The 17,082-nt window shown below is 43.8% G+C and overlaps 1 protein-coding gene across 11 annotated transcripts in view, besides 1 other annotated feature; it reads right to left on the bottom strand.

Annotated features, from left to right (window-relative positions):
* The window catches only part of NAV2 (neuron navigator 2), a 776,366-nt gene that overhangs the window by 699,984 nt on the left and 59,300 nt on the right, over positions 1-17,082 (bottom strand). The gene's annotated exons all lie outside the window — the stretch shown is intronic.
* Positions 11,239-11,348: an enhancer, noted in NCBI's record as "active region_4519". NCBI's record gives its function as "activates an Ori minimal core promoter by ATAC-STARR-seq in GM12878 lymphoblastoid cells {active_cell/tissue: GM12878}" and the evidence as "EXISTENCE:reporter gene assay evidence [ECO:0000049][PMID:35858748]".

Below are 17,082 nucleotides of genomic sequence, written 5' to 3'. Positions count from 1 at the left end.
ATACTTAATGTTTGTCTTTAGATCAAATTTAAATCAACTAATTTTTAAAAAGTTAATATCCTCCTAAGCAATAATATACATAATATCAAGGGTTTAGTGCACTGATTATATTCCTTCCTTATATGCAACAAAATAAATTGATAACAATTAAATTATAAACTGTTCATCCAAGTGACACCTTGGAGCATGTGAGCCTTCTGTTAGGAAATGCTCTGTGAGTCTCGGCCCTTCCCCCAGCATGGACACATGTGAGCATGCACGCCTTAGAGCCAGGTCATCTTCCAGCTGCGCACTCTGGTCCTCTGTGATGGATGCTGGGCTAGTACAGAGGCAGCTGTGTGATGGGAACCTGGACTGCAGCAGGTGGGCAAAGGAGGCAGAGTTGAGCTCTGAGGACCCAGGGAAGCATGGCTTCCATTTGGGATGCAGCTGAGAGGGCTGGAGGGCTTGGGGCAGGTGAACATGAAGAGATGGAGAGAAGGGAAAGGCAGGTCCATCGACTATGACCCCTCCACCAGCAGCCACAGCATCAAAGCCAAGGCCAGGCGTCCCACAGTACAAGGCTAGAGAGAGCAGCTGCTTAACACCTTCAGAGGCAGCAACATCCTCAGAGATCTAGTTATGGCAGGCTGTGGGGAGGAGGGCAGGCCCACCTAGCACCCTGCCATGCACCGTGGAGGTCACCCTTGAGTTCTGTTTTGTTTTCCTTGTTAGCTTAGCTTTTAATTGAAGCATAACAGAAGACAGGACAATGCATAATTCATAAGTGTACAGCTCAATGAATTTTCAAATACTGAACTGCACCCAGAAAAAGAAATAAAACATCAACTTCATCCTAGAAGCCCCCTCATGCTCCATTCTATTATGGTCACGCTCTTGCTCCAAGGGTAAACATTATCTTAATACCTAATACCTGATATTGGTTTTGCCTATTTGGAACTTTATAGAAGTGAAATCGTACGTATGGAGTCTTGTGTCTGGCTTCTTTTGTTCAACATTATGTCTGCAAGATTGATCCATACTGTTGCATGTAGCTTAGTTTGTTCTCATTGATGTGTAGTAGTCCACTGTATAAACAGACTTCATTCTATCTTTAATGAGTATATGAATACTACTCAGATTTTGGCTAAGTAATGTTGCTATGAACATTCTAGCAGATTACTTTTGCCTTCATTTCTTTTGGGTGTGTACCTAGGAATGGAATAACTCAGTCATAGTATACAGACATGTTTAGGTTAGTGGATACTGACAGTTTTTCATATCAGTCACACCAATTTTCACTCCCACCAACAGTGTGTGCAACTTTCAGTTGTTCCATATCCTTGCCAACACCTGGCATTTTTTTATCTTTTTAATTAGCCATTCTAGTGTGCATATAAGTCACCCATATTTTGTTTTTTTCCAAACTGCACAACAGCCCATAGGCTAACGTCACTACTAAAGACAGTGACATGGGAGAAACACAACAGTCCATAGGTCAACATCACTTCTAAAGACAGTGACATGGGAAAAACACAACCGCCCATAGGTCAATGTAACTTTTAAAGACAGTAACGTGGGCGTAGTAGACTGACTCAGAGGACCTCACCTTACTGCTTGCTCTCCAGCTACTGATGCAATGCCATTAGGAAAGAACTGCCACTGCTATTTACAAAGCCCTGACCCAGGGCTTTGCTCATTCGTTCATCTCACCCTCACAGCAAACTGCCAAAGGCAGGCAAGGAAGGAATTATTCTCAAGAGCTTACATAACTTTCCAAGTATGTACCCGACGCAAACTTCAGGCCTACCTTCTTCTGATTCCAGTTCAGTTTCCTTTCACTGAGTTTAAACTGACTCTTAATTCACTTCTTCTCCATTTCTCAGAAGCATCTGTTGAACTGCAGGATCTCTGATGTTCCTTCCAGTTTCATTATGGTGGACTGGTTTGTTTCTAAGCGTGTGAGTGGTTTACTCACTCACCAAGTGTGTAAACAAATGGAAGATCCTTGCTCAATCCTGTCTACAAGGAAATGAAAAGAATTTGGAATATGCATTTCTATCATTCCCCACGTCTTCACATCAGACTGAGAAGCGGGTCTCGAAGCCCCACCTGCCACGGTTCCTTTCTCATGCCAAGCAAAGCGCAGAAAGGGAGGAGCAGTCGATTGCTGCAGCAACCTCCTCCTCAGCTGTCCTGAGGTATGCACGCTGCTGGAAAAAAGTTCTGCCTGCATTGCCAGGAGAATCATATTCATGAGATTCCTCCATATCAGACATGTTTCCTAAGTTTTCTAATTGGCTCATGATGGATTTCTGCAAGTGCTTTTGATGAGGCTCACCTGCAGTGCCTCTCCTCTAAAGATAGTAAGAAAGTCACATGTTTTTGAAAGAGCAAATAATTGTGAAACAGCATTTCAACAACAAAGATGAGCAAAATACAGTTCATAGAAGGTGAGCTACTTGCAGGCAGGGGCCATGAAAGAAAGGGAAGGCACCCAAACTCCAGCACAGTGCCAGCCCCCCAGTGCCACTGACCCTTGAATCTCCAGGGCTCAGCTCCCAGACTCAAGGCATACATCTCATCACATATATACAGGTCTGTATACCCTCCTTGAGTCCCTATTACTGCACTCACTACTGTTATCCTTGCCTCCTCCCTTACCTCCCAAATACCCTTAACTAAGCCTACAGGTCATCTATGTCTGGAATCCATGCCCTGCTATCACTCCTTACTGCCACTACCAGAGATGAGCCCATCATCCTCCTACCTGGACTCCCACTATAGCCTAACCGGTCTCCCTGACTCCACTCTGGCCACCCAGCTATATAGCAGATGCAACTCTGATCACAACACCCCACCACCACAAGCCCTTCAATGGCTTTGGACGACCCTTAGAAAAATGCCCCAAGCCATTTTGATCATCTGCCAAACCTTCTATGATCTGGCTGCTGCCTCTTTTTCCAACCCCGTCTCAATCCATTCTCCCCTTGGCTTATTTTGCTTCAGATCCACAGGTCTTTCAGTTCCTTAAATGTGCCCCTACGCTCTCCTACCATCATATGCTGGTAAGATGTGATTACACATGCTGATCGCTCTGTCTGGAATGCCTTTTCCCTGTCCTTCATCTCCCAAATTCTGTTCATCCTTGAATAAGAGTTTCAGCTTAGAAAACATGTTTTCAGTGAACACTCATCCAAGCCCAAGGTGAGAAGGCATCTCTGGGCTGTAAGCCTCACACCACCTGCATGTTCCCCTCTGGAAATGCTCATCCCATTTAGTAATTCTTCTCTCAGTGTCTAGCCTCCCTCCTAGACTGTAGGTTTCCTGAAAGCAGATGCAATGTAGAACTTGTTCATAGCTCACTCTCAGCCCCTATCATTCAGCCTGTCAAATAGGAGGCTCTCAATGAACACTGACAGATTGAGAGGTTGATTGAGTGATAGACTGTTTGCTTGTACTATCTTGATGCCAGAAAGTCAGAAAGTCATAGAGAAGACACCCTTTTGTTTTGTTGTTTTTCATAATTTGAGTTCTGAGATACATGTGCAGAACATGCAGGTTTGTTACATAGGTATACACATGCCATGATGGTTTGCTGGACCCATCAACCCATCATCTACATTAGGTATTTCTGTTAATGCTATCCCTCCCCTAGACGCCCATCCCCTGACAGGCCCCAGTGTGTGATATTCCCCTCCCCAGGTCCATGTGTTCTCGTTTTTCGACTCCCACTATAAGTGAGAACATGTGGTGTTTGGTTTTTTGCTCCTGTGTTAGTTTACCAAGAATGATGGTTTCCAGCTTCATCCATGTCCCTGAAAAGGACATGAACTCATCCTTTTTTATGGCTGCATAGTGTTCCATTATTTACCCAGTATTCCATGGTGTATATGTGTCACGTTGTCTTTATCCAGTCGGCATTTGGGTTGGTTCCAAGTCTTTGCTATTTCCAAGTCTTTGCTATTGTGAATAGTGCTGCAATAAACATGCGTGTGCATGTGTCTTTATAGTAGAATGATTTACAATCCTTTGGGTATATACCCAGTAATGGGATTGTTGGATCAGATGGTATTTCTTGTTCTAGATCCTTGAGGAATCACCGCACTGCCTTCCATAATGATTGAACTAATTTACAATCCCACCAACAGTGTAAAAGTGTTCCTATTTCTCCACATCCTCTCCAGCATCTGTTGTTTCCTGACTCTTTAATGATCACAATTCCAATTGGCATGGGATGGTATCTCATTGTGATTTTGATTTGCATTTCTCTAATTATCAGTGATGATGAGCTTTTTTCCATGTGTTTTTTGGCCACATAAATGTCTTCTTTTGAGAAGTGTCTGTTCATATCCTTTGCCCACTTTTTGATGGGGTTGTGTTTTTTTCTGGTAAATTTGTTGAAGTTCCTTATAGATTCTGGACACTAGCCCTTTGTCAGACGGATAGATCGCAAAAATTTTCTCCCATTCTGTAGGTTGCCTGTTCATTCTGATGATAGTTCCTTTTGCTGTGCAGAAGCTCTTTAGTTTAATTAGATCCCATTGGTCAATTGTGGCTTTTCTTGCCATTGCTTTTGCTGTTTTAGTCATGAAGTCTTTGCCCACGCCTACATCCTGAATGGTATTGCCTAGGTTTTCTTCCAGAGTTTTTATGGTTTTAGATCTTACGTTTAAGTCTTTAATCCACCTTGAGTTAATGTTTGTATAAGGTGTAAGGAAGCGGTACAGTTTCAGTTTTCTGCATATGGCTAGCCAGTTTTCCCAACACCATTTATTAAATAGGGAATCCTTTCCCCATTGCTTGTTTTTGTCAGGTTTGTCAAAGATCAGGTGGTTGTAGATGTGTGGCACTATTTCTGAGGCCTCTGTTCTGTTCCATTGGTCTATATATCTGTTTGGTCCCAGTACCTTGCTGTTTCGGTTATTGTAGCCTTGTAATATAGTTTGAAGTCAGGTAATGTGATGCCTCCAGCTTTGTTCTTTTTGCTTAGGATTGTCTTGGCTGTACGGGCTCTTTTTTGGTTCCTTATGAAATTTAAAGTAGTTTTTTTCTAATTCTGTGAAGAAAGTCAATGGTAGCTTGATGGGGATAGCATAAAGTCTATAAATTACTTTGGGCAGTATGGCCATTTTAACAATATTGATTCTTCCTATCCATGAGCATGGAATGTTTTTCCATTTGGTTGTGTCCTCTCTTATTTCCTTGAGCAGTGCTTTGTAGTTCTCCTTGAAGAGGTCCTTCACATACCTTGTAAGTTTTATTCCTAGGTATTTTATTCACTTTGTAGCAATTGTGAATGGGAGTTCACTCATGATTTGGCTCTCTGTTTGTCTATTATTGGTGTATAGGAATGCTTGTGATTTTTGCACATTGATTTTGTATCCTGAGACTTTGCTGAAGTTGCTTATCAGCTTAAGGAGATTTTGGGCTGAGACAATGGGGTTTTCTAAATATACAATCATGTCATCTGAAAAGAGAGACAATTTGGTTTCCTCTCTTTCTATTTGAATACCCTTTATTTCTTTCTCTTGCCTGATTACCCTGGCCAGAACTTCCAATAATATGTTGAATAGGAGTCGTGAGAGAGGGCATACTTGTCTTGTGTGGGTTTTCGAAGGGAATGCTCCCAGCTTTTGCCCATTTAGTATGATGTTGGTTGTGGTTTTGTCATAAATAGCTCTTTTGATTTTGAGCTATGTTCCATCAATACTTGGTTTATTGAGAGTTTTTAGCATGAAGGGGTGTTGAATTTTATCGAAGGCCTTTTCTGCATCTACTGAGATAATCATGTGGTTTTTGTCATTGGTTCTGTTTATGTAATGGAATATGTTTATTGATTTGTGTATGTTGAACCAGGCTTGTATCCCAGGGATGAAGCCAACTCGATCATGGTGGATTAGCTTTTCGATGTGCTGCTGGATTCAATTTGCCAGTATTTTATTGAGGATTTTTGCATCGATGTTCATCAGGGATATTGGCCTGAAATTTTCTTTTTTTGTTGTGTCTCTGCCAGGTTTTGGTATCAGGATGATGCTGGTCTCATAAAAAGAGTTAGGGAGGATTCCCTCTTTTTCTACTGTTTGGAATAGTTTCAGAAACAATGGTACCAACTCCTCTTTGTACCTCTGGTAGAATTTGTCTGTGAATCCGTTGGGTCCTGGGCTTTTTTTAGTTGGTAGGCTATTAATTACTGCCTCAATTTCAGAACTTGTTATTGATCTATTCAGGGATTCGACTTCTTCCTGCTTTACCCTGGAAGGGTGTATGTGTTCAGGAATTTATCTATTTCTTCTAGATTTTCCAGTTTATTTGCGTAGAGGTGTTTATAGTATTCTCTGATGGTAGTTTGTATTTCTGTAAGATCAGTAGTGATATCCCCTTTACCATTTTTTATTGTGTCTATTTGACTCTTCTCTCTTTTCTTTTTTATTAGTCTGGCTAGCAGTCTATCTCTTTGTTAATCTTCTCAAAAAACCAGCTTCTGGATTCATTGATTTTTTGAAGGGTTTTTCGTGTCTCTATCTCCTTCATTTCTGCTCTGATCTTAGTTATTTCTTGTCTTCTGCTAGTTTTTGAATTTTTTTGCTCTTGTTTCACTAGTACTTTTAATTATGATGTTAGGGTGTCAATTTTAGATCCTTCCTGCTTTCTCCTGTGGGCATTTAGTACTATAAATTTCCCTCTAAACACTGCTTTAGCTGTATCCCAGAGATTCTAGTACACTGTGTCTTTGTTCTCACTGGTTTCAAATAACTTATTTATTTCTGCCTTAACTTCATTATTTACCCAGTAGTCATTCAGGAGCAGGTTGTTCAGTTTCCATGTAGTTGTGCAGTTTTGATTGAGTTTCTTAATCCTGAGTTCTAATTTGATCGCACTGTCATCTGAGAGACTGTCTTTTATGATTTCCATTCTTTTGCATTTGCTGAGGAGTGTTTTACTTTCAATTATGTGGTCAGTTTTAGAATAAGTGAGATGTGGTGCTGAGAAGATGGTATATTCTGTTGATTTGGGGTGGAGAGTTCTGTCAATGTCTATTAGGTCTGCTTGGTCCAGAGCTGAGTTCAAGTCCTGCATATCCTTGTTAATTTTCTGTCTCATTGATCTGTCTAATATTGACAGTGGGGTGTTAAAATCTCCCACTATTATTGTGTAGAAGTCTAAGTCTCTTTGTAGGTCTCTAAGATCTTGCTTTATAAATCTGGGTGATCCTGTATTTGGTGCATATATATTTAGGATAGTTAGCTCTTCTTGTTGCATTGATCCCTTTACCATTATGTAATGCCCTTCTTTCTCTTTTTTGATCTTTGTTGGTTTAAAGTCTGTTTTATCAGAGAACTAGGATTGCAACCCGTTTTGTTTGTTTGGTTGGTTGTTTGGTTTTTGTTTTTGCTTTCCATTTGCTTGGTAAATATTCCTCCATCCCTTTATTTTGAGCCTATGTGTTTCTTTGTATGTGAGATGGGTCTCCTGAATACAGCACATAGATGGGTCTTCACTCTATCCAATTTGCTAGTCTGTGTCTTTTAAATGGGGCATTTAGCCCATTTACATTTAAGGTTAATCTTGTTATGTGTGAATTTGATCCTGTCATTATGATGCTAGCTGGTTATTTTGCCTGTTAGTTGATGCAGTTTCTTCATAGTGTCAATGGTCTTTACAATTTGGTATGTTTTTGCAGGGACTGGTATTGGTTTTTCCTTTCCATATTTAGTGCTTCCTTCAGAATCTTATAAAGCAGGCCTGGTGGTGGTAAAATCAGCATTTGCTTGTCTCTAATGGATTTTATTTCTCCTTCGCTTGTGAGGCTTAGTTTGGCTGGATATGAAATTCTGGGCTGAAAATTCTTTTCTTTAAAAATATTGAATATTGGCCCCCACTCTCTTCTGGCTTGTAGGGTTTCTACAGAGAGATCTGCAGTTAGTCTGATGGGCTTCCCTTTATGGGTAACCAGACCTTTCTCTCTGGCTGCCCTTAACATTTTTTCCTTCATTTCAACCTTAGTGGATTTGATGATTATGTGTTTTGGGGTTGCTCTTCTCGAGGAGTATCTTTGTGGTGTTCTCTGTATTTCCTGAATTTGAACGTTGGCCTGTTTTGATAGGATGTGGAAGTTCTTCTGGATAATATCCTGAAGAGTGTTTACCAACTTGGTTTCATTCTCCCCATCACTTTCAGGTACACCAATCAAACGTAGGTTTGGTCTTTTCACATAGTCCCATATTTCTTGGAGGATTTGTTCATTCCTTTTCATTCTTTTTTCTCTAATCTTGTCTTCATGCTTTATTTCATTAAGTTGATCCTCAATCTCTGATATCCTTTCTTCCACTTGATTGATTTGGGTATTGATACTTGTTTATGCTTCACGAAGTTCTCGTACTGTGTTTTTCAGCTCCATCAGGTCATTTATGCTTTCTAAACTGGTTATTCTCGTTACCAATTCCTCTAACCTTTTTTCAAGGTTCTTAGCTTCCTTGCATTGGGTTAGAACATGCTCCCTTAGCTGGAAGGAGTTTGTTATTACCCACCTTCTGAGGCCTACTTCTGTCAATTTTTCAAACTCATTCTCCGTCCAGTTTTGTTCCCTTGCTGGTGAGGAGTTGTGATCCTTTGTAGGGGAAGAGGTCATCTGGTTTTTGGAATTTTCAGCCTTTTTGTGCTGGTTTTTCCTCATCTTCATGGATTTATCCACCTTTGGTCTTTGATGTTGGTGACCTTCAGATGGGGTTTTTGTGTGGACATCCTTTTTGTTAATGTTGATGCTATTCCTTTCTGTTTGTTAGTTTGCCTTCTAACGGTCAGGCCCCTCTGCTGCAGGTCTGCTGGAGTTTGCTGGAGGTCCACTCCAGACCCTCTTTGCCAGGGTATCACCAGCAGAGGCTGCAGAACAGCAAAGATTGCTGCCTGTTTCTTCCTTTGGAAGCTTCATCAGAGAGGGGCACTCGCCAGATGCCAGCTGGTGCTCTCTTGTATGAGGTGTCTGTAAACCCCTGCTGGGAGGTGTCTCCCAGTCAGGAGGCACAGGGGTCAGCGACCCACTTGAGAAGGCAGTCTGTCTCTTAGCAGAGCTCGATTGCTGTGCTGGGAGATCCACTGCTCTCTTCAGAGAGACGTTTCAGCAGACGTTTAAGTCTGCTGAAACTGTGCCCACAGCCGCCCCTTCCCCCAGGTGCTCTGTCCCAGGGAGATGGGAGTTTTATCTATAAGCCCCTGACTGGGGTTGCTGCCTTTCTTTCAGAGATGCCCTGCCCAGAGAGGAGGAATCTAGAGAGGCAGTCTGGCTACAGCAGCTTTTTGAGCTGTGGTGGGCTCCACCCAGTTCGAACTTCCCGGGGCTTTATTTACACTGTGAGGGGAAAACCGCCTACTCAAACCTCAGTAATGGCAGATGCCCCTCCCCCCACCAAGCTTGAGCATCCCAGGTCAACTTCAGACTGCTATGCTGACAGCAAGAATTTCAAGCCAGTGGATTTTAGCTTGCTGGGCTCTGTGGGGGTGGGAGCTGCTGAGCTAGACCACTTGTCTCCCTGGCTTCAGCTCCCTTTCCAGGGGAGTGAATGGTTCTGTCTCTCTGGTGTGCCAGTGCCACTGGGATATGAAAAAAACACCTGCAGCTAGCTCGAAAGACCCCTGGTTTTCTTTCCAAGCTCTACTCTATAGCATGAGCTGTGTGACCTTGGGCAGATGACTTCACCACTTTGAGCCTCAATTTCTTCATCTTTACAATCTTGATAGCAAATGCATGCCCTTTCTGCTTCATAGATGCACCTGAGTAATGGGGACATTTACTCCCCAGTGCAGCCAGTGTTTCCAGGGGTCATGGGGATGTACCAAAACGAGATGCCAGTTGTGAAGATGCTTCACAAATTGAAGCTCTCTCTTCTCCTTCCATCTCTTGGATTTAGATAGCCCTTGGCTATCTAAATGAAGATGCACCAAGTAGGGCAGATCCAACAGCTGGCTATGCTCTTGGTTAAGTCACATCTCTGGCCCTCTCCTCACCCAGGTGGAAAGGAAATCTCCACATACCCTCTCCCCAATCCCTATCCCTTAGAACATTCTCAGGGCACCTTGAGATTGAGATAGCAGCCTCTTGATAAATAATAAATGGGACACAACCAGATGAAGGAAAGCTAGAAGAGATTTACAGGAGGTGGAAGAAAGATACTCCAGCCACAATAAATAAATGACTCCAGGTCCTCTGTGTCTCCAGGGTCTTGTAATAACGGAGAAAGCACCTAAACGCATGTGAGAAGGGGAAGGAAATGCTATTGGTGGCATGGGTGTAGAGAACATAGTCTGTGTACTTAGAAGATCATTTAAACTCCCCACAACCCAGTGGCTTTCAATGGCTTCAGGAGGTCAAATTAGCTGACAAGGTGGTCCAGAACTGAAGTACCTCCTGCTGCTAATGCAGTGGTAGTCCCCAGAGCAGCAGCATCACCTGGGACCTTGTTGCGGCAGATTCTCAGGACTCACCTAGCTGCAATGAATCAGAAACTCTGGGGGTGGGGTCAAGCAACCTGGGTTTAAAAAAGGCCTCCAGGTGACTGGCATGCCCGTGTGTGCCAATTGCTGTGCCAATGCCCTGGAGGAATGCAAAAGAAAAGGGAGATAGGGGAGCCTTTCCCATGCAACAGAGGTGTCCCAGGGTCCCTCTAGCCCCAACAACATGGGTTCCCTGTATTTCAGACTAGCTAAAGAAAGATTTGATGTCAAGCTGCTCTCTGTGCACACATCCATGATTCTCTTCATTGGCAAACAAACAAACAAACAAAAAATAAACAATTGATCCTGGAACCCAAGCTGAGCCTTGAGAATAGGGGCTCAAAACTGCAAACAAGTATATACACCAGCCTGCCCTTCTTCTTCCCCATGATCCCTGGAAACACTGGCTGCAGGGATGAATGTCATGAAGGACACACAGAGTCCCTACCTCCTATGGCATGTCATTCTATCTATTATACCTTCATTAGTTATGTTTTACATGCTTTTCTTTCTAACACAAAGAAAAAAATGAGAATATCCTATAACAGGAGTCATCAGAAGCATCAGCACAATGTAGTGGCCAGGAGTACAGATGCTAGAGCCAAATCCCCTGGGTTCAAATCCCAGCTTAGCCAGATAATGACTGCGTGACCCTGGATAAGGTAGTTAGCCTCTCCATGCCTTGGTTTCCTTATTTGTAAAATAGAGATAATAACTGCTACTTAGTAGAGTTGGTATGGAGATTAAATGAATTCATATTTGTAAAGTGCTTAGAATAGTGCAGGGCACACTTAACATTATTTAAGCGTGTGTTGAATATATAATCAGGCAGGGCTTAGATGGAAACCAGCAGAGTCAGAATGAAATTCCATATGAAAGGGAAGATGAAAGGGAGGAAAGGGCCCAGAGGAGGAAGCGAAACAAAAAGTTTGCCACCTTTATAACGCAGTTAAGGCTGCCTCTGCATGTTCTATAGCTCTCAGAAAGGTCCCCATTACTCAGGGAGGACCACCTCTGTCTGCCCCCCTGAAGCAGGGCAGGAAATGGGTAGGGTGGAAAAGCAGCTCCACAAAGGATTGGCAGGGAGAAGCTGTGGACATCCTGGGGCCTCACCTAGTGGGGTCCTGTCTCCTGTTTACAGTAGACCAGGAGAGCGTCCCAGAGAAGTTCCTAGCCCCGAGTTGGGCCAGGGCTCCCACTTCTTCCCACTGAATCCTGAGCCGCCTGTCTCAGCCCAGAGTGCTCAGTCATTTCTCTCCAACTCTGGGTAGATTAAAAAATCTCAAACTTTGGTGTCAAACAAGACCTGGGTTCAAATACCAGCTCTACAACAGAAGATTCGTGTGACCTGAAGTGAGTAACCACCCTCTGTGAGTCTCAGTTTCTTCATCTTTAGAATGGAGACAGGGCCATAAGTCCACCTCCAAGAGTTTTGGAGAGAACTAAATTAAATAGTGAAGGTGAATCCTGGGGCATGGTGCCTGCAGCATCACGGGAGCTCTGTGGATATTTGCCAAAGGAATGAACGGCCGCTCAGACCAGACAGTCTTGGAGTCCTTCTGCTGACAGCCTTCACCATTCCACTTAGAAAGGACAGGCCTCTAGTGCTGCATTCCTTCTTTCCCTCTCAACCTTGCCAAGGCCCCTCCAAGCAGCCAAGAGCTATCTAAATCCAAGAGATGGAAGGAGAAGAGAGAGCTTCAGGACTCCACCCACCACCCAAGAGCAAGGCTGAGTGCTTAGAGAGTGACTGGGAGTGATGAGAAGGTTCAAAAAGAAATCAAGTTCTGTTAATGAAAGACCAGAAAAACAATGCTTAAATTAGTCTCCATGCTTTGTTAAATCTGAAAATCACATAAAACACCAGTGATTGAGGAAAGCATTCTTTTCTTTCTTACTTTCTCTTTTTTAAACCCTCAAGCATCATTTAGACTTTTGCATTTTCAGAATAAATCCACCATCTTTCTAGTTTCCCAAAGGCTTGGCTGACATGGGGTGGGCCAATGATTTGCTCACCAAGGGAAGCTGATGTTCCCAAAGGGGAAAAAAAAGACATGTGATTTACATGGCTTAACATACTCATTAAGGACGTAATTGGAGTCACTTTGCCACTGATCCTCCAAGAGCCCCCCTCTCCCCACCCCCCATTTAATTAACAGGGTAACCTTTAGCTTCACAGCTCATGAAGAAAGCCAAGTATGAAAGAGGGAACTCTATCCACTTCTCCATCCTGATCCTACCATGCAGCTTAAAACCCCAGTGGGACTCCCGAGTTCTCGGGGGCAGGAGGGCTGTCTTCAGTTTGGAGTATTAACATCCCCCCACCCCGCCAGAAAAAAGAGGCTGTAAAGTTTGCATCAGCCAGGCCCAGGCTCGAATTCTGGCTCTGCCGTTCACTGGCAGTGACCTTGGGCAGAATTCTTAATCTCTTTCAGCCTCAGTTTTCTCATCTGTAAAATAGGGATAATAATTCAACAGACAATTCACAAGGTTGTTGCGAGGTTCAAGTGAGTGCAACATTTACTGTGATCTCAGCACAGAACCTGGCAGGCGTAAGTATATTGCAGTTTGCTTTTGTCACTAAAGTTGTGAGGATGGAGGGTAATGAGTTTTGAGGTAGCAGGACCTGAACTGCCAAGGGGATTCCCAAACAATGATACATTTTCATTTTGCCTTGATGCAGACACAAAACAGTTTATGGGAAACCACATACAATATTTCTAGCAAAAATTATCTGGAGTGACTGCACACAATTACTCAGATGTAACCAAGGTTCAGAATATTTTAGCTCCTTTCCATGATCTCAATGGGTCTGCTGTTCCCCTCCCAGCCTCCCCTTTCCTGCCCTTTCCCTGCCTGCTTGCAACATGGAATATAAATAATTAATGCTCTCCAATTACCTAAGCCAAAAATAAATAAAGCTTCAATGTGTATTGGATGTCCACACAAATCCACCATTAGAAAGAGGATGCATCCCCACGTGCAGGTGTCTGCATCTCGAAAGCCATTTGTGATGAGGCCGCTCAGTGGGTACCAGGGTTAGTTAAAGCTCGCTTCATTACAGTGGCATTGGGGCAGATGGGAACTGACGGCACTGGGCTGTTTTCATAGGGAAATGTGCACAAAGTCCCAGGTCAGCACGGTGATAAATGGGCTTGCCGACAATTTGCTGGGAGTACGCATCTTGGGGGGCTCCTGAGGTCATGAAATGTCTGCTGTTAAGCTACACAATTTTCTTTACTTATCAGTCCCAACCACATCGCAGACACATATTTGAACAATGAAACAAAGGACAACACGCATTATCATGCCCCAGCCGGAGAACGGGAGCACCGCTAAGCCAGACAGTGCTGATTGGACAAAGCCCGGGACACACAAAATGCCGAGTGTGGAAGGGAAAGAAGGCTGGCGATTGCTTTTTAAGGTAGCAAGTTGGAAGGGGGGCATGCGGGGGCTATGGGTGGGTGGGGAATTCTCTAAAGAATACAAGTCCCAAAGGCTGAAGTCACCTGTGACCACAGGGCCTCAGTGGCTGGCTCCAGTCTCTACACAGCAGCCACAGAGATATCTCCAAAATGCAAATCCCATTGTCCACTGGTGAACGTCAAACTCTTCCGCATGCTTACAAACCCTCCCATGTTCTCGCACCTGCTTACACCACCTAACTCTGCTCCCACCTGTATTCCACCCTCGGGCTATATCTGTAGGCCTTTGCACATGCCATCCTCTTTGCACATGTCATCCTTTGTGTCTCAGCTGAGATCGGCTTCCTCCAGGAAGTCTTTTCTGACCACCATTAAGTTGGCATTCGGTGCTGCTTGTCAGCCTCTCTCAGCACGGCTCTGTTTAGCTGTGTTGCTGATGCCTTGGTCCCTGCCTCTAGATTCTAACTCCATAGAGGCAGGGGCTGCCTTGTTTGTGGTCTTTCCAGTACCCTGCAAAATGCCTGAAACGGAGTAGATGCTCAAAACTATTTATGAAATGAATGAGTAAATATGCAGAGAAAGAATCTTTGCACTGGCAGGAGGCAGCTGTCCTAAGTGGGCCACACACACATCCTGCCAAGTAGGGTCAGGACCTCCATCTCCTCCCTGCCTCCATCCAAATGAGCCTCCATCTGGCACCAGGAAGGAGAGATTAAATGAGTTAACAAAGTTAAAAGCCATACAGGTCCCAAACACAATTCCTGAAAGGGAGTTTGGAAGTTACCCCAAAATAGGGGAGTAGAAGTGGGCATGGCATTTGGTGTGTGGCCCAGAAGTTTGGAGTCAGAGAGGTGAGAGAGAATCAGGAGCAGTCAGGAGAAGAGGTGATATTAAGGAATTTCCTTAAACTATCATGAATATATGCTGCTGCATTCATGGGTGAGTTTCAAGGGCCGGGAACTAAGCAGACCCTGTTGGCTATAGGGAGATGGGGCAGGGAAGCCCAGATCCTCTATAAGCCAGTGGTGACGACAGAGATTCCAAGAGAACAAAAAGCTTAGTTAATTGAGAAAAAAGAAGGCTGGATGAGGGGAAAGAGGAAGAGCCTCCCGGGGACATGAGCCCATCTCAAGGGAATGTATAACTTCATTGGCGGGGCAGGGATACCAGAGAAGTATCAGCAAGCTTCTGAGAAGCCCAGCCTGGAGGAGAGACAGCCATGGCCTCGGCTCTGTCTACCCCATGACTTTAGGCCAAGTCACCCGCTGTTTCTATGTTCCCTTTTCCTCTTCTGGAAAACGCTCTCCTCCACAGTTTGCTTAGCATCTTGCCGTTCTGCGCGGTGCTTCCCCATTCGTATTGTTTAGTCTTCCCACGTCCTATTAGACAGGACCCTCATTTAGCAGATGAGGAAACTGTGGGTCAGAAAAAATAGAGCCACCTGTCCAAGCTTACCTAGCCAGTAGGTGGCCATGCACAGATTTAAACTCAGGATGAGTCCACAGTGTGTGCTCCCACAAGCTTAGCAGGCTACCAGGTGGCACAAGTTTCCCGCCAGCTGTAACCTGGGGGGAGAATACAAAAGCCAAGCCAGCCTGGGCTGACCACAGAAGTAGACAATACGTTTCACCTCTCCCTACCTACCAGGCACCTCATAGCTCTTTTTTGGTATTTATTTCTTTGTATCCAGCATCAAATTACATTATCCCTCCCTTCCCCACCGACCAATGCCATGCTTCTGCTACTCTGTCCCAGTGACCCTGTCTTGTTTATCAAATTAGCAATCCAAACCAAGATAATTATGGGCGATGACTATGACATCCCTCCTAGATAACACTTTGGCATTTTTACAGGGCTCTTTTTGGAGACCCAGTGCTTTTACTCAAAGGCCTAATAAGAAGAGAGAAAATGAGAACAATCATGTTCCCTGATCCCACTCTGTGCTGGGCACATGCACAGATATTACAAAGCAAGTACTGTCAATCCCATTTTACAGATGGGACTGAGACCTGGAAAGATTTAATAACTCAATCCAATGTAAAAGTCAGGAAGTGACAATACTGCTTTCAATCTAGGCCTGTCTGAATCTCACTGTGTCAAACTGTCTTTCAACAGAGTGGTGTTTTCAAGCACCTCATGAGTATGCAAGGGAGACGGATGGTTTTCTAACAGTATACAGAAGGAGGAATTCTCAGGACACACACACCTTTCAGCAGCCTCATGTTACTCCTTCGTATTCAGATAAATACAGCCCTGACTGCGGAAAGAACTCAGTGGAGAACAGAAGCAACTGCTACAGAAAGGAAGGGATCATTTATCATGAAGGGGAAGACGAGAGACCCAGGTGGGAAAGGAGAAGGGGAGGGAGCCAGTCCAATGTCAGAATTTGGGTGAAAAACAATCAATATCTGGCAGGCACCTCCCAAACATCTGCTTCCCTATTTGTTTGGGGGAAATAATGATCTTGTTCCTTTCCATGATCTCCCCATCCATGAAGAGAGCCCACTCACTTGGCAGAGCATATGCCTGGTGGGGTCTAAGACCAGCAGCCTTCGTGTACTTGTGAATGAGTTTTCCTTTTCTTATTCATGAACGCTCAGGGGCATCAGGATTCTGGGCTTTTCTAGGACAGTTAATACTAATTCCTGTCTTCCACGGACCAGGGACAAAATATTTATGAAAGTTAGCTGCCTTTTGCCTCTGTCCTTGGTCCACAGTCCTTGTACACTGCCTCGTATAACTGGAACTCCAGACAGAGAGCACAGAGAGAGGAGGGAAGGCAACCAGCCACTTGGCAGTGGGGCTTTGAAGACCAGACAGACAGGCCTTCCAGATTAACACTTAAAAAAAGAAAAAAAAGTTGTTTTACCCTCCGTTCTATGATTCCCTGCTGAATAGGAGTGTGCGTTTAAAATTTAATCATGAATTCATTGGAAGGAAATAAATCAGAGTAAATGTTTAAAGTGCAAAATTGCTGAGCTCTTGGGTTGTGATCACTCGATTTAGCATAAAAATTAAGAGTTAGTGTTTTCTGAGAGCAGGCACAGAGGCGCATTTACAATTTTTTAAAATGACAGATGCCATTAATTTTTTAAAAAATAATCTGATTTGCAATGCAGTATACCATACTCAAAAAAAAAGACTCACTATTCAGAACCTAGGGTTAAAGCTGCAGAAACTATATCTA

This window comes from Homo sapiens, chromosome 11 (genome assembly GCF_000001405.40).
Source record: "Homo sapiens chromosome 11, GRCh38.p14 Primary Assembly".
In the NCBI taxonomy this organism is placed as follows: domain Eukaryota; kingdom Metazoa; phylum Chordata; class Mammalia; order Primates; family Hominidae; genus Homo; species Homo sapiens.
The sequence above is the reverse complement of the archived record's forward strand: the minus strand, read 5'-3'. Positions and strand labels throughout refer to the sequence as shown.